Below are 27,847 nucleotides of genomic sequence, written 5' to 3' on the forward strand. Positions count from 1 at the left end.
CTTGAAAATCTTTTAAAAACTAACAGTGGTCTCTCCGGGAACACCGACGTGTTCTTACTCCTAATATTTGATAAAAATCTCTAGGGTGCAATGTGCCCCGAGACCCATCTATGGGCTCCTTAGATGTGACGGAGAAAACTCTCAGGGTCAGATGAGCTCTAAGCTAAGTTCCTCCCAGCGCCTGACCACCCCAGCCTCTCCTAACAATCCAAAGACCACTCCACGGGCCACCACTCAAGTGCCTACAGGGCCACAGCAAGCGGAAGACAGGAGGGAGGGGTGGGGCCTGCGGTGGGCTCGCAGACACCCCTGTCAACAGGGAGCTCAGATCCCATCAATGGTTGTCAGAAGAAACTGTGGCCCAGTGTTGTCAAAGCTTTCCATTTTTTCAAGAAATAAATCCCAATTTACATGTGAAATCTCACCATTAAAGTTTGGAAAAGGTAATATATGCACGTGGTAAAATATTCAGAAGGCACACTGAGCCACGAATCTCATTCCCTCCCCAGCTGCACAGCCACCCGGCTCCCCAGGAGTTGCCAGTGATGTCTTCTGCGGACGCTTCAGACTCTGTTGTCCCTACACGAATATTCACGCATTAACCATACCATTCTGTTCCCTGATTTCACTTAATATTCGTCTTTCTCCTGACTTTTTAACAATGCTGAATAGTTCAGATCTGAAAAGCATGCACACGCACACACAGCGTGCTGGCCAAAGCACACTGCAGGCCGCAATCAGCCAGTGGTACCGGAGAGTGACCTCTGACCTACACTATCCTGGGCCCAGATAAAGAAGCTGGTGGCACCTTCAAAGCTAAGCAAGCGGACCCACCGCACAGCAAACCCATCCCTGTCTGCGTAAGGTGTGTCAGAGCTGAGGGCGTGGCCAGGCTAGCCCCGGACCCATGCTCAATCCCCAAAGAGGAACAGGCGAGAGAAAAAAGGCCAGCTGCCCGGCTGGGGACCAAGCCATCCCCCTCCCCCACTCAGCGGTGGCCTCCTCCCCAGCTCCCATCACAGTGAGCAGCACTGAGAAGCAGGCACACACAGCCTGGGCCCAGCGTGAGCCTCCTGCCCCCACAGTTCCCAGTGGCCCTGCCAACACAGTGCCAGTTCCGACTTTTTCAGGCAGCTCAGGGAAGTACAAAGAGTAACAAAGGGGAATGAGAAACTCTCAGTTCAAATCCTGGCTCTTCCACCTCGGCGACCGGGCCAGGCAGCTGGGCCAGCCGGGTGGTTTCCAAACTTAAAGCTGTAACCCTTTACTGGAATGGTTCTCATGAGGCTGCACAGCCCCCTATGGGACAGTTCTGGTTGCCACAACATTTGGGGGGGCCTTAGTGACATTCAGTGGGTGGTTGGGGGACAAGAGCGTGAGCTAGCCTGCAATGCGTAGGACATTCTCGCACTGTCCCAAATCCCACACAACTCAATTCATGAAGGTGTTTATGATCATGCAAACCTAGAATATGATCCCACTTTATATATAAATAAGAAAGTACTTTTATAGTTTTTTGGTTTTTTTTTTTTTTTTTTTTGAGACAGAGTGAGACTCCCAGGCTGGAGTACAATGGTATGATCTTGGCTCATTGCAAACTCAGCCTCCCGGGTTCAGGCAATTCTCCCGCCTCAGCCTCCCAAGAAGCTGGGATCACAGGCGCCCGGCTAATTTTTGTATTTTTAGTGGAGACAGGGTTCCTCCATGTTGGCCAGGCTGGTCTCGAACTCCTGAGCTCAAGTGATCCACCTGCCCTGGCCTCCCAAAGTGCTGGGGAGCCACTGCTCCTGGCCTTACAGTTTTAATATAAAATAAATTTTCCTGGAATGAAACTACTGTGTAAACTTAAGGGAAAATGGACTTTGCTTTATTCAGAACATAGCAGAAGTCCACTATTTGCAAAAATGTCAGTGAAGGCAACCCCCTCTCATTATTTCAAAACTCCCCTCTCGGTCAGCACTTGCAGATGCTGCCTTCACGGTGTTTCCACCTGAGGTCTCAAGATCTGACTCCTCACTACATTGTCTAGGTTACTAACGTATTAGGATACATAAAATATTATTACCTTCCTCTTATGTCTCTTTATATTAGAGTTCCCACTGTGTTGCTTGTTTCACTGTACACAGGTTAACATGTTAATATAACAGGTTATATATTTCTATTAACTTTATTTAAGACAAGTAACAATAAAAATAACATCTAGGCCAAGCACAGTGGCTCACAGCTGTAATCCCAGCACTTAGGCTGAGGTGGGCGGATCACCTGAGTTCGAGACCAGCCTGACCAACATGGAGAAACCCCATCTCTACTGAAAATAGAAAATTAGCCGGGCCTGGTGGCACATGCCTGTAATCTCAGCTACTCAGGAGGCTGAGGCAGGAGAATCACTTGAACCCGGGAGGCGGAGGCTGTGGTGAGCCAAGATCGTGCCATTGCACTCCAGCCTGGGCAACAAGAGCAAAACTCCATCTCAAAATAAAATAAAATCTAACACTTCAACTGCACTTACTATATGCGAGGAACAGTTCTAAGTATTAAGCTGTATTCATTTATCCTCAACAAAATCATCTGTTTACAAAACAAGAGGCGTGGGGTTTAAGAGGACCAGGCGTCGTGGCTTTCCGGAAGCAAGCCCAGAGGCACACTAGGAGTCACGGGCCTAGGCAGCGTCTCCTCTCCACCCGGCCACGGCCACCGCTGCCCTGTCCCTGGAGCAAAGTGACCCCCCCCCTCCAGGGCTCAGCCTCAGGATGGAGGCTCCTAGTCTCCCGCAGGGAGAGCAGTCTCCAGGGCTCCTCTTCTTTTTCCCACCACCAACTCCCAAGGATCCAGGCCCCCTCCTCTAGGCTCCTGAAAACAGCTCAAAGCCATGCCCGGGGTGGTCAGGGCTGGGGGAGACCCAGAGGCCCCTCCCCTGAAGCTCTTCAGAAAGCACAGCCCGGCCTGTTCCCTCTCCCTGAAACACCAGCTAATGCACCTCTGTTCAGCTGTGCACTCCATGCTCCCTGACCCAGCAACAGCGCAGCTCTGCACAGGGGATGCATGTGGGAGGACGGGAAGGAACTCCGGGATGCTGGTGAGGCAAGCGGTCAGGGTCTCAGTCCAGGGTGACTCCGCAGGGGTCCGCCTCCCCTCTAAGTCCCCCTCCAGCCCAAGGTTCTTTGTGCAGCACAGGGCATGGCTGCAGCTCCTCCAGAGTTCAAACACTCTCCAATTCTGCATGGTCCTGGCCCCCGCACCTCATGGAGTCTGCACACCTGTGTCCGTCACTACTCTGTGGCCGGCGTGCAAACACACAGGCCAAGAAGAAGGAATGCAGCAGCCGCAGGAGAGGCCACTTGGCCCGGACTCCCCGTCAAGCCCTCACTGGCGGGGTCCCTCAGCCGCTCCCAGTCTTGCTTTCTGCCTCTCAGTCAAGTGCTGGTGCTGAGGAGCCCAACCAGTCCCCAGCAGTCCAGCCCCTGCCCCCCACTCACTGTGTACAGGCGTCGCCGCAGTCTGGCCAGGAGAGGGAAGGAGAGCTCCAGGCCAGGGAACCGACGTGCTGCCGGCATCTCCACGCAGCGGGACCCCCCCGAGCAGTCACTGGGGATCCAGTGGCCTCGGCTCCGGAGCTTCGCACTCTGCCCAGGAGCCCCCCAAATCCCACACCAGGGGTGGGAAATGAGGAAGAACGGGGTGGGCCCCTCCGCTCTGCTGCAAGCCCCGCTGGGTTTCCACAGCTGGCCGGTCTGGCAGGGAGCAGAGCTTTCCTCACGCTGGCTGCAGCCGGGATCCTCTGTCCTGTTTCTGTCTTCTCTCCAGGGCAGTGGTCACAGTCCAGCCCTACTCCCCGGCTTCCCCACCCAACTGCCCGCCCGGCCGCCCTCCCTCTTGCCTGCCTCTCTCTCTCCCTCTCTCCCTCCCTCCCCAGCTGAGCAGCTCTGACACTGGCTGAAAAAGGACCTTTCTGAATCACTGCCAAGAGGGCGGCAGGAATGGGGGGGACTCTTCCTCCCAGCCACCCGCGCTGGCCCCCCTGCCTCCCCATACACAAAGCTCCTGTCTCTGGCTTCTACCCCAGCCCTCACAGTTGCAGACAACTCCTGGGACTTTAGGGTGGCGGCTATGTGACTCAAACAGCACGTATGAAGCAGGGCTGTGGACTCCCTCATGGACCTGTGTGGGGACGTGGGGACTAACACACAGCCTGAGTGGGAGGCTTGGACCCCAGAGGCTCCGCTGGGCCCTGCGATGACTCCTCAGAGACCCTCCCCCACCCCCGAGTCCCAGCCTTGGCTGGGTGTCTCCTGGCTCAGACCCTGATGTGGCCCTGTTACCCTGGTGCCCGACGGAAATAGGCGGCCGGCAGCCTGCCAGAGTGGGGCAGTCCAGCCAAGAGCAAGGGTAGGGTGGGGTGAGGATCCTCACCCCCTCCCCTGGGGTGGCCCTGTCTGCTGCCCAAACACCCAGGGTGCCTCCTACTCAGACCAGGTGGCCAAGTTCCCAAACCCGCTCAAAACAAACAAATATGCCCTGAGACTCCTGCTGGGACGCCCCCACCCCAAAGCTGTAGGATGTCTCCTGTATAACCCCTGACACAGACCACGGCCTCAGATTAAGGGGCCTAGAGACACTCCATCAAGCCCCCGTGGGGCCCTCATGTTTCTAGAACTGACAAATGATCTCTCTGGCCCTCCTCAAAGGGTGCCAGCTGCTCTTACACCCCCCTCGCTACGGCCCCCAGACACACCTGACAGCTGCAGGAAGCCCTCTCCAGCTCCCCAGGCACCCCCCTCCCTGCTGAGCCATGCCTAGGGAGCCCCTGTTTCTTGCACACTGCTCTCTTGTCCCTGTCCAGCTGGCCACCAGCTCAGGGAGCCTCAGCTGGCTGGAGGGGTGGGCAGCTGGGGAGCAGGGCTTTGGGGACTCAGCATCCCAGGCTCCCTTCCCAGGGCCTCTCCCAGCACTTGACCTCCCTGATGATGCCAAAAGGGACAGCCATTTCCTGGTCTAACTCCAGGAGGTGGGGAGAAGGACACCCCCAACTTCAGTCCCTCTTCCTCATCCCCCTGCCATCCAGCCCACAAAGCTTGTGGAGATGGCAGGTGTGGATGGAGTGGGGGCTGAGGTCAGGTGGACAAGATCAGGCCTGCGTTACACTGGAGCTGACTTTTCCCCAAACCTTGGCTGACTGTGCCCTTGCATCAGAGAAGCCTACAGCCTTACCCTGGCACCAAGCACACCTGGAAGGAGACCCAGGGACCGGGGGCCGGGGAACAATTTAAGCAGGGTTATTCCCTCTATTTCAAAATGGGTCTGCTGGATCAGAATGGCCAGATTAAAAACTCTAGCGTCCCCAGAAATATGTGTCTCAAAGTCACCAGAACCCCATGCCTGACCTTGGATGTCCAGTAAGAACAAGACCTGTAACTGGCCCAGTAATCCAGCTGCGGGAAGAAGCAAAGTATGTGTGGGTCAGCGCCAGGCCGGCTCCTGGAACCCCCACCCCCTTTTTTTTTTTGAGAGTCTTGCTCTATCGCCCAGGCTTGAGTGCAGTGGCGCGATCCCGGGTTCAAGTGATTCTCCTGCCTCAGCCTCCCGAGTAGCTGGGATTACAGGCCCCCGCCACCGTGCCCAGCTATTTTTTTTTTTTCCGCCATGTTGGCCAGGCTGGTCCCGAATTCCTGACCTCAGCGTCCTCGTCTCAGGTGATCTGCCCGCCTCGGCCTCCCAAAGTGCTGAGATGACAGGCGTGAGCCACCGCGCCCGGCCCGGCCCGGCCCCCTTTCTCCTCGCCCAGGAAAACAGCCCGACCTTAAGCCCCAACGCTCCTACCGAGTCCCCCTTTCTCCTGTCAGCTACTGCCCTCTGCCGGTCGGGAGAGGAAGTGCGTTCTCTCCAAGGGGAAGGGAAGCTACCCCATCCATCAACACCGTGACCATATTTTCAAAAGCAAACAAGGACATCTGGCTTGATATTCATATTCAGAAGCCTAGTAAACGGGAATGCCCAGGACATACAGACTCAGTTCTCCTAAAAGACTGAACCCCAATCCTAGCAGTACTTCCTGGACTCCCTTGGGGCATGGAAGAAAGCCCAACGGGCAGCTTTTTGGGGTCCCAGGGGATCCATGCACACACAGGCAGATGCCAGCATCACTAAGTCACCACCGCCACACCCACATAAACACACCGCTCTCTGTCCCCTGGCCCAGGAGCAGACACTCTCACTCCTGAGGCCGCCGCAGGGGGCAGGGCTGAGCCCGGCTCACAGCAGACGAAGGGGTCTGGGGCCCAGGTATCTGGCTATCCCCTAGCCTTCCCCATTACCTGCGGTCCCTCCTCGCCCCCAGCCAGGCGCTGGTAAGCAGATCTCTCCCCCATGGAGCCCCAAATCCCAGCGGCTGCGGTCAGGGAGAGAAGCAGCGCCCGCAGCCCCCGCCCCGCAGCGGCACCGGCAGCGTCACTGCCCTGCGTCCTGGGGGGCCGGGCCTCGAGCATCCTCCAGAAGTGCAGGGCCGCTACTGCGTCTCAGCCCCCATAGCCTCATCCGCCATCGGCCGGCGGCCGGGTGGTCGCGCCCCTCCTCCTGCCGGCCTGCGGCCATTCCCTCCTGCAGCCCGTCCCAGCTCCGTTCCTCCTCTCCGGGGCGCGGCTCCCACCCTCTCCCAGTGAGCCAGCTGTGCCAGCCCCGGGCTGACCCCCACCGAGAGCCGGGGCTCTGCCTTCGCCGGCCGCGGAACCGGGCTCCACTCAGCCCTCAGCCCGCCTCCAGGGCCCCAGAGCCACCAACTGGGGCCTTGGGGATTCACGAGTCCCCCGTATTCACGGTAAGGGGCCATCCGAGAAGCCCACAGCAGAGGGGCCTCCGTCCGACTCCATCTGAGACCCCCTCCTCCGAGGCATCCCGGGGCTGCAGCCCACCCCGCCCCCAGCCTGCCCCGGCGGCCACTCTGCTCCCAGAACGCCGGGCGCCCACCTGCCCCGCAGCTCGGCCCTGCGCTCAGCCGGCTCCGCGCCGCCTCCCAGCGCCCGCCTCCCGCGCAGGCCACGCCCCCGCCCCGAGGCCCCCGCGGCCGGTTCCCCGCGCGCCACTCCCGCAACGCCGCACGCGCTGTGCGCTGGGCACGCACTGACCTCCTTGACTTCAGAGCGGTGACACGAGGGCCCGGACTCCTGCTCAAAAGCCGCCCAACACAGGCCCACGCGGGGGTGCCGCGCCCAGCACTGGCGCGAGGCCATCGCCGGCACAGGAAGTCCCAGGGCAGAGGCTCTTCCTCTCCCCCGGGGCCCCAAGGCACCGCTTCTCATTCTGGTGGCATCTGAAGCAGCCACTGACTCTTTAGTACCAGGTATTTAGGGCTGAGCTCAGGGCACCTTCCCTGGGTTGGGGCAGAGGAGAGACAGATGCTGTGACCTCTCCTCCCCACGCAGCGTCAAGGCTGAGCCAGACCCTGGAAGGTCACTAGGTGAGGCTCCCTCTACGGCCCACTCTCCTCACACAGCCCCTTCCACACCCCAAGCACACCAGGGTAGGTGGATGACTGCCGGCGAGGCCCCCGAACGCCTGCTTCTATGCTGTACAGAAGCTCCTCGGCATCTTACTGCAGCTAAAGGCACATACTAGTCTTGGGAGTAGCTGCAAAGCCGGGAGACTGTAGAAGGCAAGGCAGAAAATACCAGGCCCCTCCCTTCTTGCCCTGGCTGGATAAAGGATCTGATCCAAACCAGTGCCCTTTCCTGCTTTCTCCCTGCCTCACCTCCCCCTGTAAATCTCTGGCGTCCTAGTACCATCCTATCGTAAGACATCCACAGGATCTAAACTACCTCTAGGAGTTCGAGAATCCACCCCACGTGTACACCCCCTCTGCTCTTCACTTGTCTCTTTATATCTCCACTCTGCAGAGCTAAAGGAAACAAGAGGCTGGAAACCAGCCCAGCTCTGCTGTCCATTCCCCTCTCCAGCCTCTCCAACTGCATGCGAAGTGACAAATCCACACCAAGGCGCAGACATGACAGGCAATTTCCGGCCAAGAGGATTTTTCCAAAACAATCTACCGTATTCTCAGGAATATATGCCAACCCTACCTCCCAGCCCGCCCTCTCCCACCTCCACCTACCTCTTCTCCAAGCCCTGAAGGAAAAAAGAACATACTGATGAGGAGAGGGGGGCTTACAGCTCCTCCCCCAGCCAGAGGATTATCTTGCTTCCACATGTCAGCCCCACCAAGTTTAGTCAGCCTTAACTCACCCCTCTGTGCGCAGAGCCCAGGCTTCTGGAGCAAGGCCAGGCTGGGTGCCCTCAGAACCTCATCCCAGAGGAACCTGCACCAGGCAACCCTGCACCTTCAGGTCGGCTGGGCCTGACATCACACTGGTCTGGGGAGGAGGCTGGCCAGGGCCCAAGAAAGAAAAGGGAGTGATTCAGACACACGCCATGACTGTCCATAGTCTCTCCATCTCCAGGACACGGGGGCCCACTCCCTCCCAGGGGGGCCTGGCAGCTGAGGTCCTGAGGGCAGGCAAGGCTGTGTCTGCTGGCAGTGCTAGGCCCATGGTCCAGCCCTGAAGCCTCTTCACCCCACATGTTTTTTGTTTGTTTGTTTGAGATAGGATCTCACTGTGCCCTAGACTGGAGTGCAGTGGTGCGATCTTGGCTCACTGCAACCTCTGCCTCGCAGGCTCAAGCAATCCTCCTGCCTCCATCTCCTGAGTAGCTGGGATTACAGGCGTGCACTATCACACCCAGCTAATTTTTGTATTTTTTGTAGAGATGAGGTTTCGTCATGTTGCCCAGGTTGGTCTCAAACTCCTGGGCTCAAGCATTCTACCAGCCTTGCTCTCTCAAAGTGCTGGGATTACAGGCATGAGCCACTGCGCCTGCCCACCCCCTCACCCCCCCACCCCCCCCCCACCCCCCGCCCCCAGCTTCTTAACTGTTGGTATTTCCTAAGACTTTTGAACTCATGTTTCCTTCTATTCTCCACTGATGCTGTGCTCCCTGGGGTCACCTATGCCTCCAGGGACTCCTATTACCACCTTGTGCTATCTCCATTCCTGAATTCCTGTGGCTCCAGACCCGCATTTCCAGACATTTACAGGGCAGCTCCACCAGGAGGCTGCACAGGTACCACACATTGCATATCCAAACTGGGCTCAGCATCACCCCTTAAACTCTGCTTCTGCGCTCCTGTATCCCGCTGAAAACATCACAAGCCAACACTAGCCACCCGAGGTAGAAACCACACCCCACCACGGACCCCCAACCAAGACTCCTCCTCCGTCCTCCACCTTCTCCACCAGACACACCGGTCGGGCTGCTTCAACCGCCTCAGACTTCCTCCCAACGGTGACAATGAGATCAGGAGTCAGGCAGATGGGGGCTGAAATCCTGACTCCATCACGCTCCAGCTGGGCAACTTTTGAGCAAACAACCTCTAAGCCTCAATTTCCTCATCTGTAAAGAGGGGAAAAATGGAATCCCCATCATAAAACTGTCATGAAGAGTCCACCACGGCACCTGGCTGCCTGCTGTTACTATGGGCCCTTCCCTCAGTCCTCGAGGGCCCAATCCTGGCTGGCACGCACGCCCTCTGGGCTGCACTCCTCACCTAGTTCCCCACCTCTCTCTCTTAGCATTCCCTTCAAATGTCTCTATGTCCCAGCCAAGCCAAGTGTTTGCCCTTCCCTAGACATACTCTGGGGTTCTTCTTGTTTTTTGTTTTTAAGAGACTGGGTCTTGCTCTGTTGCCCAGGCTGGAGTGCAGTGGTGTGACCATGGCTCATTTTAATTTTGAACTCCTGGGCTCAAGTGACCCTCCCACCTCAGCCTCCTGAGTAGCTGGGATGACAAGCACCAGCCACCATGTCCGGATGCCCTTTAATTTTAATGTCTGCGGCTGGGCCCGGTGGCTCACGTCTGTAATCCCAGCACTTTGGGAGGCCAAGGCAGGCGGATCACCTGAGGTCAGGAGTTCGAGACCAGCCTGGCCAATATGGTGAAACCCCATCTCTACTAAAAAATATAAAAATTAGCCGGGCGTGGTGGCGGGCACCTGCAGTCCCAGCTACTCGGGAGGCTGAGGCAGGAGAATGGCGTGAACCCGGGAGGCGGAGGTTGCAGTGAGCCAAGATCGTACCACTGCACTCCAGCCTGGGCGACAGAGAGACTCCGTCTCAATAAATAAATAATAAAAAAATAATTTTAATGTCTGAGCTATTTTTTGTCTGTGACACTTCTACTGTGTCTACATGATAAACTCCCACACACTCCTCAAGATCCAAGTCAAATGCCATCTCTTCTGTAAATTCCCATTTCCTAGCCACAAATGGTTATCTCTGCTGTTTTGTTGGAGGGATGCTTGAAAACATGAGTAGTAAAACTACACAATAATACATGTGAAAAATAGCCAAAATAATTTTTTTTTTTTGAGATGGAGTCTTGCTCTGTTGCCAGGCTGGAGTGCCATGGCGCGATCTCGGCTGACTGCAACCTCTGCCTCCCGGGTTTAAGCGATTCTCCTGCCTCAGCCTCCCAAGTAGCTGAGATTACAAGTGTGCGCCACCACGCCCAGCTAATTTTTATATTTTTAGTAGAGTTGAGACGGGGTTTCACCCTGTTGGCCAGGATGGTCTCGATCTCCTGACCTCATGATCCGCCCACCTCAGCCGCCCACAGGGCTGAGATTATAGGCGTGAGCCACTGCGCCCGGCCAAGAATTTTAAAAAGTTTAAATTATCCATCACGTTCCTATCCTTAAAGGGTCACTATTCCTGTAACTCTTTGTATCAGCACATAATTGTGCTGAAGGAGCGGTCTGTATACCTCTGCTGTGGTCTGTACATCGTAAGGGAACCATCTGTCCACATCTGTCGCCCTGAAGGGAGAACCTGGCAGGGGCCCTGGGTGTGTCTGCTGAGAAGGACTCAGTCTTTGTGAGGAACACTGGAGAACGGTGGCTGCTTCTTCCCCCGTGAGCTGCTGCCAGGTTGCTTTCCCAGTGGGTGCCAGGAACAAGCCTGGTTGCCCTCTCCCAGCCCCGGCTTTGCCTCCCCCCATGATTTCTAATCCAGAGACGCCAGCACCTTTCTGGGAAGAGGGGCTGTCCATGTCATCACAACCACTCCGACCCCAGACCCACTAAGCAACTCAGTCCCCCAAAGCCATCTCAGAACCAGAACAACTCAGCCAGTCCCTCAGGCAGAGGGAGAGCCTGACATTGGTCTTAAGGAAGGTGCCTTCTCATCGGACTGCGAAGGGGTGCTGGGGCGCGGGCTGCCACACAGGGTGATGGGAAGGGGGCCTGGGTCTGTCAGGATCCCAGCTCACCGAGAGAGAGGAGGGGAACAGGCAGGTGCCAGGGTGGGAGGGCAGAGCACAGAGGCAGAGGCAGACACACCAGGCAGGGCCCTGCTATGCCTCGTCCCCTCCAACTCCAGTGGAGAAGGGAATGTCACTTGAGAGAGGAGGGGTGAGGATCTGACTAAACAGCGTGACCCAGTCCACACTGAACCTGAGGCTGACTGGACTTGGTGGGGCTGACACGTGGAGACAAGAGCATCCATCTGTATCAAGTCTTGAAAGTACTGTGAAACCGTTTCATGCTCCGCCAGCTGAAGACCGGAGTGTCAACGCCGACACAAAGAGACAGTACACTGAGGGCCCTAATGTGCTCCTGGACCATCGCTCCCCAACACAGACACCAGCAGCAGTGGGTGGCAGAGGACACATTGCTGCAGCTGTCTGGGTCTCACTCCCATGCACGCCACACATGCCCAGGTGCCGAGGCCAGGACACGAGTGCCGCAGAGAGCTGCCTCTCGTTGCCTGTCCTGCCCATGCACTGTCACGGCACGGGGGCCCAGAGGGAAGGATGTGGTCTAGCTCCCAGCAGCTAGCCACTCCCAGAGAGAGCTCTTCCAGGGCTGGGCAGAGGCTGCCCGGCTCGTCATCCTGCCTGCTGCCAGCTCAGGCCATACCCCACCCCCAAGCCCTACGCAAGAGTCCAGAGCTGAAGGGGCCTATTGTTGGCCCTGGAGGTGGAGTGTGGAAAGAAGGAGTGGAGAGGAGATGCCAGAGCTGGGAAGTGAACATTCAGTCTACAAGATACACTGCTCATTCCCTCAGGACCATGTCTACACCAAGACCCAGGAGCTGGGAACATGTCACCTAGAGCAGGCCGCAGGGCCCAGGAGAGCCTGGGAGCCAGAGAAATGTCCGGTGCTTCAAGACATACACCTTAAATCCCACTGGACCCTGCTCACCATCTGACCTTGAAGAGCCCGGGACCCTCAAAGGGGAAGGGGCGTGCCTGGTCCAAGGTACCAGGAAGCTGTCATCGGGAATGGAGGCTCATGGAGGCTCAGGATCTGGGGGAGGGCAAATGTTAGCGGAAGGGTGACTCTCTTCTGGCCACAGGGTAGGGGGAGAGCCCTGCCAAGGTCAGGGTACCAGAGAAGAGGCCCTGCTTCATTGGCAGACACAGTGTACAGGGGACAGAGAGAAACAGAGGAGTCCAATGTTGGCAGACACAGTATACAGGGGACAGAGGGAAACAGAAGAGTCCAATGTTGTTACATCCAGCTGGGGGGCCCAGGAGGTACAGCTGCTGAGGAGGAAGAGAGGGACCAGGAAAACCTCCCTCCCCTCTCACCTTCCTTAGACACCCACCATGCACCCCACATGCCCACCCGATGCTGGTTTCTGGGAGAATATGAAGGGGCAGAAGTCATAGCCTGGGTCCTCAGGAAGACACTATGCGCCAGCTCTTCACTGAGAGTGTACCTTCACTGGCTGACCAAAAACCTGCCTTACTACCCCAGATTATCCCCACTTTACAAATATGGAAACCAGCTCTGGAGAGGTGGCCAAGAGCACCCAGAGAGTAAAAGGTAAAGCCAGCATTCAGCCCATTCACGACTGTACTGCTTGGCACAAGGATGCGGGCCCATGGAGGTCCCCGCGGAAGTCTTATGACCCACATTGGACTCGCTGAGTGGATACCATGTCATTCACTGACGCTGAGTGAATGCATGGATTCTGTGAGGAAGTCTGAAGAAGGGACAGGGGTTCCAGGAAAAAACAGTAGATTCCACACAGTGTCACTCCTTCCTGAAACCTCACCAGAACAACAATTAAAAAAGGATGTTCTGAATGCCATAGGCCCCTAGGGAGGGGGAGAATGGTAGAGGAAAAACCACCACAGAACTTTGGAAGCTGGAAAGCAGATGGGCTGGTGGCAGTTGAGAGCTGACCCAAGAAAATCACAAATCCCAGCGTGAGAGACACTTGACTGACCGCCTGCAATCCTCAAAAGCCCAGGAACTGGCAGCCCCGGAAACCTCTGGAAGAAGAGGTGAGTGTCAGAAGGGCAATGCTAAAATACAGGGGATTACTGAAAAGTTATTTAAGAGACAGTAAGGGCCGGGCGCGGGGGCTCACGCCTGTAATCCCAGCACTGTGGGAGGCCGAGGTGGGCGAATCACTTGAGGTCAGGAGTTCATGACCAGCCTGGCCAACATGGTGAAACCCCATCTCTACTAAAAATACAAAAGTTAGCCAGGCGTGGTGGCATGTGCCTGTAACCCCAGCTACTCAGGAGGCTGAGGCAGGACAATTGCTTGAACCCAGGAGGCAGAAGTTGCAGTGAGCCGAGATTGCACCACTGCACTCCAGCCTGGGCAACAGAGCAAGACTCCGTCTCAAAAAAAAAAAACAAAAAAAAACAAACATAAAAAAAAAAAAAAACACCTCTCAGCAAAGTAGGAATAAAAGAGAGCTTTTTGCAACCTGGTAAAGGTCAGATATGAAAAACCTATAGCTAATACCACTTTTTTTTGTTTTGTTTTGTCTTGTGAGACAGTTTTGCTCTGTCACCCAGACTGGAGTGCAGTGGCGCAATCTCGGCTCGCTGCAACCTCCACCTCCTGGGTTCAAGCGATTCTTGTGCCTCGGCCTCCCAAGTAGCTGGAATTACATGAGCATACCATCACACCCGGCTAATTTTTGTATTCTGGGTAGAGACAAGGTTTCACCATGTTGCCCAGGCTGGTCTTGAACTCGTGACCTCAGGTGATCCACCCACCTCGGCCTCCCAAAGTACTGGGATTACAGGCGTGAGCCACCGCACCCGGCCAGCTAACACCACTTTTTTTTTTTCTTTTGTGACAGAGTCGGAATGCAGTGGCGCCATCTCGGCTTACTGCAACCTCCACCTCCCAGGTTCAAGCAATTCTCCCACCTCAGCCTCCCAAGTAGCTGGGACTACAGGCATGTGCCACCACACCCAGCTAATTTTTTGTATTTTTAGTGGAGGCGGGGTTTCACCATGTTAGCCAGGATGGTCTCAATCTCCTGACCTCGTGATCTGCACATCTCGGCCTCCCAAAGTATTGGGATTACAGGCGTGAGCCACCGCGCCCGGCCAGCTAACACCACTCTTAATGGTGAGAGACTAAATGCATCCCCTGGAAGATCAGAAACAAGGTATCTACCCTTCTATTCAACATTATATTAGATGAGGCTGGGCTTGGTGGCCCACCCCCATAATCCCAGGACTTTGGCAGGCCGAGGCGGGCAGGTCACCTGAGGTCAGGAGTTTGAGACCAGCCTGGCCAACATAGTGAAACCCCATCTCTACTAAGGATACAAAAATTAGCCGGGTGTGGTGGTGGGTGCCTGTAATCCCAGCTGCTCAGGAGGCTGAGGCAGGAGAATCGCTTGAACCCAGGAGGCAGAGGTTGCAGTGTGCCAAGATTGTGCCACTGCACTCCAGCCTGGGCGACAAGCATGAAACTCCATCTCAAAAAAACAATAACATTATACCAGAGGATCCAGCCAGGGCAATCAGGCAAGAAAAAGAAGCAACAGGCATAAAGATCAGAAAGGAGGAAGTAAAACTTTATTAGCAGATGACACGGCGCCCTATGTAGAAAATCCAAAGGAAGTTACAAAAAAGCTTGCTAGAATAAGTCAATTTAGCAAGACTGCAGGATTCAAGCTCAAAATACAAAATCAATGGTATTTACATATACTAGCAACAAACAACTGGAAAGTAAAGTTTAAACAACGGTACCATCTCATAACAGCATTACTGACAACAGCCAAAAGGTGAAAGCCGCTTGAGGCCAGGAGTTGGAAACCAGCCTGGGCAACATGCCAAACTCCCGTCTCTACAGAAAATTCCAAAAAAAAATTAGCCAGGCATGGTGGTACACACCTGTAGTCCCAGCTACCCAGGAGGCTGAGGTGGGACGATCACCTGAGCCCAGGAAGTCGAGGTTGCAGTGAGCCATGATCACACCACTGCTCTCCGGCCTGGGAGACAGAGTGAGTGAGACCTTGTCTTTAAAAAAAAAAAAAAAAAAGGTGAAAGCAATCCAAGTAAATGGATAAACAAAAAGTGGTATATTCATACAATAGAATATTATTTACCCTTTAAAAAGAAGAAAATTCTGACATATGCTGCAATGTAAATGAACCTTGAATACGCTAGGCCGAGGTGAAATAAGCCAGGCACAAAAGCACAAACACTGTAAAATTCTACTTCTATGAGGCACCTACAGGAGCCAAATTCATAGAGTCAGAAGGTAAAATGGTGGTTCTCAGGGGCTGAGAGAGGAGGGAATGGGAAGTTACTGTTTAATAGGTGCGGTTTCAGTTTCACAAGATGAGAAAAGTCCTGGAGATGGATGCTGGTGACGGCTGTGCAACAGTATGAATGTATTTACCACCACTGCAGATGGTTACAATGGCAGTATATTATGTATATTTTACCACAATTAAAAGTTTTTAAAAATAAAAAACCAATACTACCAGGAAAAACCAGTATCATTTACAATAGCATAAAAATAGGTACTATTTAAGGATATGTTCAATAAAAGATGGAAAAGACTGATATACCAAAAACTACAAAACACTGCTGAGAGATAGTAAACAAAACCTAGACAAATACAGAGATATACACTGTTCATGGTCAGAAGGCTCAATACTGCTAACCGATCAATTCTCCCCAAATTGATCATAATCCCAATCAAAATCCCAGCAGGCTTTTTTGTAGAAATTGACTAACTAATTCTAAAATGTATATGGAAGTGCAAAGAACCCAGAATAGCTAAAGCAATTTTGAAAAGACAAAACCAAGTTTGAGATCTTACCCTGATTTCAAGACTTACTATAGTTTATAAACCCACAGTAATCAAGATAGTGTGATACTGGGATAAAGACAGACAAATAGATCAATGGAACAAAACAGAATCCAGAATTAGACACACACAAACAATTGATTTTTTTCTTTTTCTTTTTGAGATGGAGTCTCACACTGTCGCCCGGGCTGGAATGCAGTGGCGCAATCTTGGCTCACTGCAACCTCCGCCTCCCGGGTTCATGCGATTCTCCTGACTCAGCCTCCTGAGTAGCTGGGATTACAGGTGCCCGCCACCACGCCTGGCTAATTTTTTGTATTTTTAGTAGAGACAGGGTTCCACTACGTTCACCAGCTTGGCCTTGAACTCCTGACCTCATGATCCGCCCGCCTCAGCCTCCCAAAGCACTGGGATTAGAGGAGTGAGCCACCGTGCCCAGCCAGCAATTGATTTTTGACAAAGATTCAAAGGCAATTCAGTGGAGAGATACATCTTTTTAATAAATGGTGCTACTAGATCAATTAGATCTCTACATGCAAAAAACTGGACATTGATTCATACCTTGCACCACGTAACAAAAATTAACCCCAAACGAATCCTAGATCTCAATGTAAAGCCCAAAACTATAAAATGTCTACAAGAAAATACAGGGGAAAACTGTTGGGACTTTGGGTCAGGCAAAGATTTCTTGGACATGACACCAAAAATGCAATCCACAAAGTAACAAATTAGTAAATTAATCAAAATTTACAACTTCTCTTCAAAAACACAGCATTTTGCACTACTGATCATGAGAATTTTTTAGAAGACATTGTTAAGAGGATCAAAATACAAAGCCACAAGCTGGAAAAAAGATTTGTAAATCACATACCTGATAAAAGGCTTATATCCAGAATATATCAAGAACTCTTCAGAACTCAACACGAAAAACCCTACACAATTAAAAATGGGCAAACGATCTGAACAGACACAGCACCAAAGACATACGTATGGCAAATGAGCACATGAGAAGATGCCCGACAACATGAGTCATTAAGGAAATACAAATTAAAATTGTAATGAGATACCACTACAGACATGAGAGTGTCTAAAATTAGAGACTGACCACATCGAGATGTGGACATATCAAAGACATGGACAAACCAGAACTCTCATACACAGTGGATGAGTATATAAAATGTACAACCACTTTGGAAAACAGTCTGGCAGTTTCTTAAAGGTTAAATGTGTACCTACCACATGACCCAGCCATTCCGGTCCTAGGGATTTACCTAAGATAAATAAAAGTGTACATCCACACAAAGACTAACAAACACGTTCACAGCAGCTTTCTCTGAAAACCCATCAACAGGTCAATGGATAAACAGACTTTGGCACACGTGTACAATGACTGTTGATACGCGCAACCACCTGGACAAACTCCAAAATACTTCTGTTGAATGAAAGACGCGATTCCGTTTACAGTAAATGCTGCAAACTCAGACACAGTGACAGAAAGTAGACCAGCCTGTTACCTGGGGTAGGGGATGGCAGAGGAGCGGGGGATGGAGGGGTTCCACAAGAAAACTTCTGGGGACAGGGGAATAAGGGGGATGTTCACTATCTTGAAGGTGGGGGTGGTTTCACGGGTATATACACAGGCCACAACTTATTAAATTGTGTGTTTTAAATATGCTCAGTTTACCATATGTCATTATATCTCAATAAAACTGTTATTTAAAACAAACAAAAAGAAACACTGCATCTTCTAGACGAAGCACAAGGTGGGGGCTAATCCCGGGCTCAGGGGCCAGAGGGAACAGTCTGACCCTTCCTCCCTAACATCTGCCGGGGCTCCGGGGAGGTGGGCACCAGGCTCCAAAGGGCCTGAGGTTTCTTTACTCACGACACTGCAGGGGAAGTCCTGGCCCACCGCAGACACCAAGAAACTGAAACCTAAAGACATTATGTTGCCCAAGGAAGTTACACAGCTTGTAAGCGATATAACCAGATCAAAAGCAATCTGTGTGATGCCAAGGCCTTTCTCCCATTCATCTACCACAAGTTCAAAAACGCCGACCTGAAATAAGTAGGTGAAGATTGTGTGTATGTGTTTAAAACAGACCGTTCTCTCCACTGAAGCCAGACAGTGAGAGCCACTCTGGCCATTCCAGAAGCGTCAGGCACCGTGGGCACAGCAGCTGAACTTCCGGTGCATGAGTGTTTGGGTGGCAGCGCGACAGGCATGGGATGAAGCTGACAGGCGGGTTTGAGTTTGTCTGAGGAGCGGGCTAACCGGCTCCTCCAGCAGCTGCTACCTCCAGCACCACTCCCTCTGCCCCCAGAGGAGAGCACCCAGTCTGGTTCGGGACAGGGGTCTGGGTCCATCTGACTCACAGCCACACCTCGGGCTGGGGCAGAGGAGGGTCCTCTAGCTAAGGCCCTGGGCAAGCAGCAACCCTGCACCCATCCCCACCCAGGGGCAGGGGAAGCAAGCACCTGACAGTGCCAGGTAAGAGGCGAACAGCTCTAGGAGAGTAAGGCCCACAAGCAGCCCGCCAAGCCCCCTGGGGGCACGAGGCGGAATGAGTAGGTCTGGCACTCAGGCCACGAGGGAGTCAACAAGCCAAATACAGCCCCCACCCTTGGCCCCTACAAGCCCTACCTCTAGACTGGGCTGGGAGCTCCTGTCCTGACAGGTGCAGAGCCCATGATACCACAGCGGCCCATCTGCAAACCTCCCCAGGGTGGGGCCACAGAGGCAGCCCAGAGCCCTGGGGTGCAAGTGCACCCTCCTCTCCCGCCCCTCTAACGCTGGGTCGTCCCACCCAGAGACGAGAGGGCTCACCAGTTGCTCTCCCTCCTTCCGCCCACTAATCATCCTTGGCTCTGGGCCCTCAGGGTAAATCAGCTGTGACAGGACGGCGTGGCAGAAGCGGGCCAGGCTCGTGCCGTACCCAAGCCACTAGCTGTCACACTCATCTCAGCTCACGTGACCAACAGGGTTACAAGATAAGGTTCTGTTAATCCCACGCTGCCCTCTTCCCTTCTGTGGGACGTGTTTTGAGGACTTGTGTGTTGACTGCACCATGCAGAGCATATAGCATGGAGGCACCCCTACTGCCATCGGGGGGCAGGTGGAGGGGGGACCGTCCTGCAGCTCCTCCCTGGGGCTACCCCTCTCTTCCCTCTGCACAGACCTGGCAGCCACCCAGACGTCCCGCCTGCTGCCTAGACTCTAAGAAGATGCCCTATCACTCCAATTACCATACACAGTACTGGCGGGGGAGAGGTCCTGCCTTGCCGCTGAAAACTGCACTGCTTCCTCCCTCCAGGGATGAAAGGCCAAAAGAACGAGGGCAGTGTGGAGTCTACGCTCTCGCCAGGGACCTGCAGCCTCTCACTTCCAAGCACACCAACTCCAGCTAACAGGACTGGGCTTCCTTACCTGCCGCCTTCCGCTGCCTCCCCGCAGACACAGCTTCAGCGACGCCCAGGCTGAGACGGCAGAAGAGGTTCCCGCCGGCCGCGGCCTGCCCTCAGGCAGTGGCTCCCAGAGCTCAGCGGTTCCCCGCACTCTTCTGCGCCCGACTCCCCATGCCCCTACATCCTGCGTCCCCTTCAGCCCCGGAGGTACCGTGGGGCCCGGGCCTGCCAGTCACCACCTCCTCCTCCGCCGGCGCCTCCGGGTCCTGAGCCCCTCGCCGGGTCCCTCTCCCTCCTGGGGCTCCTTCCCGTTCAGGTAGGTTTCCTGGACAGCCCGCACCACCTGTCCCTCCTGCACCCCGGGCAGCCAATTCGCCTCTTGCACCCCCAGGCGCCCCTCCCCCGCAGGCCCCCGGGGCCCCACCGGCCGGGCCCTCCCCACCAGCTCGGGGCGGCTTCGGGGCGCCGGGGCCGCTCCCAGGACCACCGCCTCCCGCCCGACGCTCTCCCACTGCCGCTCCCCCAGTTCGCCGGAACTTTCCGGCCCCTCCCTGCGCTCGCGGGGGCCTTCCCCGGACTCGGACGCCGGTTCGGGCTGCTGCAGCAGCCTCCGCGGGCTCCCCTCCCCGCGCTCCTGCACCCCGGCCCGGGCCTCGCCGCGCTCCTGCACTGCGGGGCTGCCTCCGCCCTTCTCCTGGTGCTGCCCGCGGGGCCCCAGCCCCTCCTCCTGCGCCACAGGCCAGCCCGCCGAGCCCGTCCACCACGGCGGGCGCCCCCAGCCCGCGCCGTCCGGCGGCCCCCACACCACCCCCCGGCTGGGCTCGTGGCCGCGGCCGCCGCGCTCCTGCAGCCCCGGGCCCACCCCGCCCTCCTCCTGCACCGCCGGGCCCACCCCGCCCCGCTCCTCCACGCCGAGCTTCAGCCCGCGGAGCTGCTGCGGGCCCCAGCTGAGAACCCCTACGCGCTGCGGCTGCTGCTCCGGCAGCGCAGGGCTCAGCCCGCCGCGCTCCTCCTGCGCGACCCGCCGGGGGCCCCCGACCGGCTCGGCCCAGCGCACTCGCTTGCCCCCCAGAGGCCGCGCGCTCCCACCCCTCCAGATGGTGCTGCCCTCGGCGCCCGCTCACACCGCCCGCCCGCCCCGGCCCTCCCCTCCCGCCCCGGGCCGCCCCCGAGTCCCGCGCCCGCCTCCCCGCCCTCGCCTCCGGGCGTCAACGTCGGCCCGCCGGGCGCCCGCCCCGCGCCGGCCCCCGCAGGTGAGCGCCCGCCCGCCGTCCCTCCTGCCGAGCGCCCCGAGCCCGCCTGCGCCTGCGCCTGCGCCGCCCCGGGGTGGGGGGTGGGGGGGAGTCGGCCCGCCCTCTTAAAGGGCCCGGCCTCATCGCTCCTCCCCCGGCTCCTCCCCCAGCCTCCGGGGCCCTACCCCGCTCTCCCCGACTCCCCCGGGCCCGGCCTGCGCCTTCCTGCGGTGCCGAGGAGCGGTGGCGCCCTGGGTGAAGAAGTCCCGCCGAGTCGAGGGGCGCAATGGAGGAGCGCCGGAACAGGTCTCTCATTCCGAGTAGCTACCGTTGCACTGTGCGAGTGTAAAAGTCACTTCCACCCGGTCTCAGTTGTTCCAACCTCAGTTGAAGTGAGGAGGTTGGACTGGAAGGTTTCTGGGGTCACTCCAGTGAGGCTGGGGTTCTAGTCCCAATCTCACCGTGGCACCCCAAAGGCCCAGAAACCCGGACCATCACCTCTCTTTCCCCGGGGCCAACGGAGCACTCCTGAAGGAGGGAGGGTTTGTCTCAGGCCTGACGATTCCTGATGAGGACTTGGGCAGAAACAGCCCCAGGCAAGCGGACCTTCATTCCTGCACTTGAGCCGTCTCCTCCCTGCCCCCACCCCAGAAGGAGAAAACCCAGCGCTCGGATTCCCAGCGGCGGGGCAGCCTGCAGGCCCTGTTCCCAGCCCACAGACCCATGTCCCAGCCCAAACGGAGGCAGCCCTGGGCAGCGGGCGCGTGGAGCCCAAGGGCTCAGGGCCACTCAGCCCTTGTTACTGTCCCTCATCTAGAAAATGGATGTAATAACAAAACAGTTCACGGTAGGTGGCAAGATCAGACACATCGGAAACTGTGTAGGGCTGGCTCTTTCTGCGCTCACACTGTCCAGCAATGGGCCCCAGGGACTTGGCCAGAGCGCAGTAGGGCAATGAGAAAGGGGTGGCTTCTGGAAACCTACACGAGGCCCAGTCTGGGTGGATTTGGGTGGCGGTCCCTTGCCTGCGAGGTGGGCAGGGCAACTTTCTACTAAATTATCTAACACTGCCAGTAATGGCAGCCCTTCCCCAGGGAGCCAGGAGGCTGGGCCAGGACCACCCCCCTGTCGCCTGGCTTCAGGAAAGAAAGTGGGGAAGACAACAGATTTGGGAGAAGGAAACTGAGGAGGTTTTCTCCCAGTCTCCCTCACGCTGCCTCAGTCATGGCCATTGCTAAGACTCACAGAGCCCAACTGTGCAAGGCCCTGCACTTCGCATTCTTCTCATCCAACCCCATGACAACCCAAGGAGACACATAATATCCCCATTTTACACGTGGCAGAACTGAGGTTCTACATGGCCAAGTGACTTGTTCAGTGCCATACAGCTGGTAGTAGTGAAGCCAGGATTCAAATCCAGCTTTCCGACTCTAAAGTCTAAGGCACAGACCGAGTGTGGTGACTCATGCCTGTAATCACAGCACTTTGGAGGCTGAGGAGGGCAAATCATTTGAGCTCCCAAGTTCAGGACCAGCCTGGGCAACACGGCAAAACCCTGTCTCTACAAAAAAAATAGAAAAATTAGCAGAGCATGGTGGCACGCACCTGTAATCCCAGCTACTCGGGAGGCCGAGGGGGGAGGATCGCTTGAGCCTGGGAGGTGGAGGTTGCACTGAGTAGAGACCACACCACTGCACTCCTGCCTGGGCAATAGAGCCAGACCTTGCCTCAAAAAAAAAAAAAATCTGAGGCACAAAAAAGCAACGCCAAATCCAGGGGCCCTGCTTCAGGAAGCATCAGGACTAACTAGATTTTATTGGTCAATAGATGCAAACAACTGATTTAGAGCAAACTTCCCCTCCAGTAAATCAAGCTCCAAATCAAACAAAGCTAGAGGTCAAAGCGCCTCCACGCTGGTTGGTCCTGCTCCTAGGGCAGCACAGCCCCCCATTTCCCCAGCCCCCCATCTCTCCAGTTTCCCTCAAGAAGCCAGAGCCATGCCCCATATGCACCTCTAGTGTAGGATTATCTGGAGCTTTAGGTTCAAAGGAAAGAGTGAGGTCTCCTGCTCCCTTCCTCCCTCCCACCCTGTTCCTCACCAACTCCTGGACGGTCCCTGCCATGCGGTTGAGAACTGGGGCTATGCTGGGATGTGTCCGTGACACTGATCATGGTGGCCAGAGAGACACCGAGGGAGACTGCTCTGCCACTAGGGAGCTGACATGAGGAAGGAGCCCCAGACTAAAAACATAAGTCTCAGGAGATTTGGGAGGTGGCCACAGGGATAACCCCAACCCTCTAATTAACGTGCCTGAGCCAGTCTCCTCCTACATCTGGAACTTTAGGAGAGCTGCCCACAGCAGAATGACTCGGCAAGGAGAAGGGCTTGTCGGGTCTAGCTGGGAGTGGAGGTGGGCCAGGCTGCCAGAGGGAGGCTTTGGGTGGTGCCCTTAAGAGTCTCCTTCATGAGCTGTTTTGCACTGTGAGGTAAGCAAGAGGGCAAGGAAGGCCATTGCTGGGGAATGGGCCGCCTGGCTCACACCTGCAGGCAGCTGCTAAGCCAAGAGTGGGTGGGTGCTGCTGAGGGATTGGGCTTCTAGTTTGTTTGTTTTTATTTTTTTATTTTTTTGAGATGGAGTTTCGTGCTTGTTGCCCAGGCTGGAGTGCAGTGGTGCAATCTCGGCTCACCGCAACCTCTGCCTCCCGGGTTCAAGCGATTCTCCGGCCTCAGCCTCCCTAATAGTTGGGATTACAGGCACCCGCCACCACGCCCAGCTAATTTTTTGTATTTTTAGTAGAGACGGGGTTTCGTCCTGTTACCCAGGCTGGTTTTGAACTCCTGGCCTCAAGCAATCCACTCATCTCGGCCTCCCAAAGTGCCAGGATTATAGGCCTGAGCCACTGCGTACAGCTTGTTTTTAAATAAAGCAGTTTTTAAAACTACTGTTGCAACCTTTTAGAGGGAGGTAAACTGAATATGGTGGATTTTGAATGACTATTTTTTTGTTTTATGAAAGAGGATAATAATAGAATAGAAAATATGAGAATGTTTGGCCGGGTGCGGTGGCTCACACCTGTAATCCCAGCAGTTTGGGAGGCCGAGGCAGGTGGATCACCTGAGGTCAGGAGTTCGAGACCAGCCTGACCAACATGACGAAACCCCGTCTCTACTAAAAATACAAAATTAGCCGGGCATGATGGTGCACGCCTGTAATCTCAGCTACTTGGGAGGCTGAGACAGGACAATCGCTTGAACCTGGGAGGCGGAGGTTGCAGGGAGCTGAGATCACGCCACTGCATTCCAGACTGGGCGACAGAGCAAGACTCTGTCTCTCTCAAAAAAAAAAAAAGAAAGAAAGAAAGAAAGAAAGAAAATATCACAATGTAATTTTTGAACTTTTTATTGACGTACAGCATACCTCCAGAGAAGTGCTGAAAGCTTGCATTCTTACAGGTAATACACCCAGCACCCAGATCAAGAAATGGAACATAACCAGCACCCCAGAACCCTACCCTAAAAATGTAATTTAAAAAAAAAGATTTTAATAAATATCTTTTAGCGTGCCCTTTATATACATGGTTTACTTTTAACTTTCTGATCCCCTTGCCCTCCTCCTAGAATAGAAACCTCCCAACAACCGGGGCTTCTAGACACAGGCAGCTAGAATGAGGCCTGGCGCAAAGCAGGTGCCAAAACTACCTGCTGAATGAATGGGAGTGCAGAGTGCACCCCAGGTAGTGAAGGCATTGTTTCTGTGGTGTACTTGCTTCCTCGTTGTAAAGTCCGTTTCTTTCTGTAGGTCACAGTCAAAACACGGAGAGCCATGGCTACAACTTGAGCAAGTCAAACACGCTGTGATTCAGGCCAGGGAGATGAGCGTGGGTAAAGAACACTGTACGAACTAGCTCAGGGCTTCTGGAACTGTGTGCGGCTGAATCACCGGGGCATCTTGGTGAACTGTAAATTCTGATTCAGCAAACTGGGAGGAGGGCGCTGAGATCCAGCATTTCCATCAAGCTTCCCATGGACCACACTCTGACTATCAGGGCCTTCGATGCAGACAGTCTCGATACAGCTGCACACAAGAATCACACAGAAAGTTTTAAAAATGCCAATGCCAGGCCAGGCACAGTGGCTCACGCTTGTAATCCCAGCACTTCGGGAGGCCGAGGCAGGCAGATCACAAGGTCAGGAGTTCGAGACCAGCCTGGCCAACACAGTGAAACCCCGTCTCTACTAAAAATACAAAAATTAGCTGGGCGTGGTGGCAGGCACCTGTAATCCCAGCTACTCGGGAGGCCAAGGCAAGAGAATCACTTGAACCTGGGAGGCGGAGCTTGCAGTGAGCCAAGATCGCTCCATTGCACTCCAGCCTGGATGACAGAGCGAGACTCCATCTCAAAAAAAAAAAAAAAAGTGCTGATGCCCAAGCACCACCCTAGAACACTTAAATTGGAATCTCTTGGATGGGGGTTGGCATCTTCATTGTATTGTTTTTGTTTTTTGGTAGAGACAGGGTCTCAAGATGTTGCCCAGGCTGGTCTCGAACTCCTGGGCTCAAGCTATTCTCCTGCCTCAGCCTTCTCAAAGTGCTGGGATTACAGGCATGAGCCCCCGCGCCCAGCCTGAGCATCTTAGTTTTTTTGTTTGTTTGTCTCTGTCACCCAGGCTGGAGTACAGTGGTGCGATCTTGGCTCACTGCAACCTCTGTCTCCCGGGTTCAAGCAATTCTCCTGTCTCAGCCTACCGAGTAGCTGGGATTACAGGCACGCACCATCACATCACACCCGGCTAATTTTTATATTTTGAATAGAGACAGGGTTTCACCATGTTGGTCAGGCTGGTCTTGATCTCCTGACCTCAGGTGATCCACCCGCCCTGGCCTCCCAAAGTGCTGGGATTACAGGTGTGAGCCACTGCTCCCAGCCAGCATCTTAGTTTTTAAAAGCTCCTTAAGTGATTCCAACCAGCTACCAGACATGGGAGGTGCTTGGCTGAAGGCAAACTCTGGCGGGGAGGAGGAGCCAGTCTGTTCCCAAGCACACCCTCACTGCCTAGAAGGAGGCCTGGGCTAAGGCCCACGGAAGGGAGGGCTGGGATCAGGACGATCTGACTTGACAAAGGGCCACCATTTCTGAGTCAGGAGGGGATCACTTGCCTCCTGGCGGAGGTGAAGAGACGGATTTCTGAAGGAATTCTTAGGCATGGTGTGTATCTGCTAACCCCGGCCACATCCTCCCAGGACCGAGAACAGACTGTGCCTTCACCCTATTGCCCAAGTCAGAGGTCCCTGGAGCTGCCAAGGGGGCTGTGCTCACATGCCCCCGAGCAATTCAGTTTTCAAAACCTTACTAGGCCGTTGGGAGGAGGCACTGCCAGCTGCTCCCACACACCTGCCCCCTCTGCCCAATCACAGCAAGAGCCAAATGAGCCGAGAGATGACAAACCCTGAGGTCATCATGGGCTCTTCTGAAACAGAGCCTCATGGAGCCCTGCGCTCTGGTGCCCCCTGGTGGACACCTAGAGTTGTGGTTGGTAACCAACAAATGGACCAGTGAGTTCAGTTACTCCTGATTGGTTGGTGTTCGGGCACAGTCATGCCAGATGTGGCCCCATACACAGAATCAAGGAATTTCTAGTGCGGCGCAGTGGCTCACAGTTGGAATCCCAGCACTTGGGAGGCAGAAGCAGCAGGATCAGTTGAGTGTAGGAGTTCAAGGCTGCAATGAGCTATGATCTGCACTCCAGCCTGGGTGACAGAGGGACACCCTGTCTCTAAAAAAATTAATTTTTTTGAGACAGTGTCTCGTTCTGTCACCCACGCTGGAGTGCAGTGGCATGATCTCGGCTCACTGCAACCTCTGACTCTTGGGTTCAAGCGATTCTCCTGCCTCAGCCTCCCCAGTAGCTGGGATTACAGGCATGCGCCACCACGCCCGGCTAATTTTTGTATTTTAGTAGAGACGGGGTTCCACCATGTTGGCCAGGCTGGTCTTGAATTCCTAAGCTCAAGTGATCCTCCCGCCTCGGCCTCCCAAAGTGCTGGGATTACAGGCGTGAGCCACTGCGCCGGGCCAAAAAGAAATTAATTTTTAAAAAAGAGGCTAGGCATGGTGGTTTACACCTATAATCCCAGTATTTTGGGAGGCCCAGGTGGGAGGCTGCTTGAGGCCAGGAGCTAGAGACCAGCTTGGGCAACATGGCAAGACTCCCTACCTACAAAAAATTTAAAAATTAGTCAGTCGTGGTGGTGTGCACCTGTCATCTCAGCTACTCAGGAGGCTGAGGTGGGAGGATTGTTTGAGGCCAGCAGTTCGAGGCTGCAGTGGGGGGTACCATCACACCACTGCACTCCAGCCCTGGGCAACAGAGAGAGGCGTTGTCTCAGAAATAAATAAATTAAATAAACAAACTTCCAGTGGAGGAGTCAAGACCAATCATATGAAGGACGGGCTCCTTTGATTCTTCACCTACTCCTTTAACTCCCTGAAATCTGGCCTCCCCTGGAGCCCACCATACTAAGTGTGGGAAATGTTGCAGTCAAGGCTTGTCTTTAAATGGTGAGGTACTGTGTCACTCTTGCACCTTTCTTCTGCTCTCTCCTTTGCTCAAATCCAATTTGCAGTGCAGACACTGCACAGTCTTTAGCTAACTGTTCTTCCTCCTTCTGCTAAAATAGTGAGCCTCCCAGGCAAGCCCATACCTGCTCCGTTCTTGGCTACCCTCTCCAGCTTGGTAAGATCGTTTCCACCCACTGCCACTCCCCGACTCCCCTCCCACAGCTGAGCCAGCGAGGCCCCCAGGTACCAAGCTCCCTGCATCTGCGGCTGCCTGCCTGCGCACTGATGTTGAGTGGACACCCAGACTTGCTCCATCTTAGGAGGTAGCAACAGAACCCAAACTCTCAGTTCCAGCTCTCCTTCCCTTCTCCCCTGGCTCTCTCATTTGTCCAGAAAGCAGATTCAGGTTCTTGGCAGCCCCCTTTACCCATCTCCTCCTTCAGCACCTAATACACCTACTTCAGCCCCAGATACCTCAGGGCTCCACCCTTCTGCCTCCTCTCTCGACTCACTTCCTCTCAGCTAC

The 27,847-nt window shown here is 54.9% G+C and overlaps 1 protein-coding gene and 2 long non-coding RNA genes across 71 annotated transcripts in view, besides 14 other annotated features; 1 reads left to right on the forward strand and 2 right to left on the reverse strand.

Moving 5' to 3' along the window:
* TNK2 (tyrosine kinase non receptor 2) overlaps window positions 1-19,617 on the reverse strand; it is a 45,188-nt gene extending 25,571 nt beyond the window's left edge. For 11 of the 68 annotated variants that reach the window (NR_170692.1, NR_170690.1, NR_170681.1 and 8 more), the window contains exon 1: window positions 19,551-19,617. Coding sequence is in view for 28 of the 68 variants with exons in the window: in XM_047447142.1 (XP_047303098.1) it covers window positions 3,477-3,731; window positions 5,382-5,429; window positions 7,119-7,292 (477 nt within the window). In the remaining 40 variants the exon portion in view is untranslated. The other 57 variants (NR_170678.1, NR_170688.1, NR_170683.1 and 54 more) reach the window with 22 other exon arrangements.
* Window positions 6,621-6,680: a silencer, noted in NCBI's record as "silent region_15041". NCBI's record gives its function as "represses an Ori minimal core promoter by ATAC-STARR-seq in GM12878 lymphoblastoid cells {active_cell/tissue: GM12878}" and the evidence as "EXISTENCE:reporter gene assay evidence [ECO:0000049][PMID:35858748]".
* Window positions 6,891-7,170: a silencer, noted in NCBI's record as "silent region_15042". NCBI's record gives its function as "represses an Ori minimal core promoter by ATAC-STARR-seq in GM12878 lymphoblastoid cells {active_cell/tissue: GM12878}" and the evidence as "EXISTENCE:reporter gene assay evidence [ECO:0000049][PMID:35858748]".
* Window positions 7,311-7,530: an enhancer, noted in NCBI's record as "active region_21059". NCBI's record gives its function as "activates an Ori minimal core promoter by ATAC-STARR-seq in GM12878 lymphoblastoid cells {active_cell/tissue: GM12878}" and the evidence as "EXISTENCE:reporter gene assay evidence [ECO:0000049][PMID:35858748]".
* Window positions 8,168-8,967: an enhancer, noted in NCBI's record as "H3K27ac-H3K4me1 hESC enhancer chr3:195623973-195624772 (GRCh37/hg19 assembly coordinates)". NCBI's record gives its function as "activates a minimal SCP1, AML or CMV promoter by ChIP-STARR-seq in naive H9 embryonic stem cells {active_cell/tissue: H9 hESC(naive)}" and the evidence as "EXISTENCE:reporter gene assay evidence [ECO:0000049][PMID:30033119]".
* Window positions 9,797-10,477: an enhancer, noted in NCBI's record as "H3K4me1 hESC enhancer chr3:195625602-195626282 (GRCh37/hg19 assembly coordinates)". NCBI's record gives its function as "activates a minimal SCP1, AML or CMV promoter by ChIP-STARR-seq in naive H9 embryonic stem cells {active_cell/tissue: H9 hESC(naive)}" and the evidence as "EXISTENCE:reporter gene assay evidence [ECO:0000049][PMID:30033119]".
* Window positions 11,971-12,130: an enhancer, noted in NCBI's record as "active region_21060". NCBI's record gives its function as "activates an Ori minimal core promoter by ATAC-STARR-seq in GM12878 lymphoblastoid cells {active_cell/tissue: GM12878}" and the evidence as "EXISTENCE:reporter gene assay evidence [ECO:0000049][PMID:35858748]".
* Window positions 17,831-17,880: an enhancer, noted in NCBI's record as "active region_21061". NCBI's record gives its function as "activates an Ori minimal core promoter by ATAC-STARR-seq in GM12878 lymphoblastoid cells {active_cell/tissue: GM12878}" and the evidence as "EXISTENCE:reporter gene assay evidence [ECO:0000049][PMID:35858748]".
* Window positions 17,931-18,160: an enhancer, noted in NCBI's record as "active region_21062". NCBI's record gives its function as "activates an Ori minimal core promoter by ATAC-STARR-seq in GM12878 lymphoblastoid cells {active_cell/tissue: GM12878}" and the evidence as "EXISTENCE:reporter gene assay evidence [ECO:0000049][PMID:35858748]".
* TNK2-AS1 (TNK2 antisense RNA 1) lies at window positions 19,142-24,330 on the forward strand. Its single transcript, NR_145450.1, has 2 exons — window positions 19,142-19,844; window positions 20,931-24,330. It is a non-coding gene; the product is annotated as a TNK2 antisense RNA 1 (long non-coding RNA).
* Window positions 19,831-20,080: a silencer, noted in NCBI's record as "silent region_15043". NCBI's record gives its function as "represses an Ori minimal core promoter by ATAC-STARR-seq in GM12878 lymphoblastoid cells {active_cell/tissue: GM12878}" and the evidence as "EXISTENCE:reporter gene assay evidence [ECO:0000049][PMID:35858748]".
* Window positions 20,131-20,320: a silencer, noted in NCBI's record as "silent region_15044". NCBI's record gives its function as "represses an Ori minimal core promoter by ATAC-STARR-seq in GM12878 lymphoblastoid cells {active_cell/tissue: GM12878}" and the evidence as "EXISTENCE:reporter gene assay evidence [ECO:0000049][PMID:35858748]".
* Window positions 20,371-21,020: a silencer, noted in NCBI's record as "silent region_15045". NCBI's record gives its function as "represses an Ori minimal core promoter by ATAC-STARR-seq in GM12878 lymphoblastoid cells {active_cell/tissue: GM12878}" and the evidence as "EXISTENCE:reporter gene assay evidence [ECO:0000049][PMID:35858748]".
* Window positions 21,151-21,200: an enhancer, noted in NCBI's record as "active region_21063". NCBI's record gives its function as "activates an Ori minimal core promoter by ATAC-STARR-seq in GM12878 lymphoblastoid cells {active_cell/tissue: GM12878}" and the evidence as "EXISTENCE:reporter gene assay evidence [ECO:0000049][PMID:35858748]".
* The window catches only part of LOC124906253 (keratinocyte proline-rich protein-like), a 41,447-nt gene continuing 37,745 nt past the window's right edge, over window positions 24,146-27,847 (reverse strand). For both annotated transcript variants that reach the window (NR_197445.1, NR_197446.1), the window contains one exon: window positions 24,146-24,836. This is a non-coding gene — a long non-coding RNA (keratinocyte proline-rich protein-like). The remainder of the gene's footprint in view (window positions 24,837-27,847) is intronic.
* Window positions 25,860-26,472: an enhancer, noted in NCBI's record as "H3K27ac-H3K4me1 hESC enhancer chr3:195641665-195642277 (GRCh37/hg19 assembly coordinates)". NCBI's record gives its function as "activates a minimal SCP1, AML or CMV promoter by ChIP-STARR-seq in naive H9 embryonic stem cells {active_cell/tissue: H9 hESC(naive)}" and the evidence as "EXISTENCE:reporter gene assay evidence [ECO:0000049][PMID:30033119]".
* Window positions 26,074-26,123: a silencer, noted in NCBI's record as "silent region_15046". NCBI's record gives its function as "represses an Ori minimal core promoter by ATAC-STARR-seq in GM12878 lymphoblastoid cells {active_cell/tissue: GM12878}" and the evidence as "EXISTENCE:reporter gene assay evidence [ECO:0000049][PMID:35858748]".

This window comes from Homo sapiens, chromosome 3 (assembly GCF_000001405.40).
Source record: "Homo sapiens chromosome 3, GRCh38.p14 Primary Assembly".
Lineage (NCBI taxonomy): Eukaryota > Metazoa > Chordata > Mammalia > Primates > Hominidae > Homo > Homo sapiens.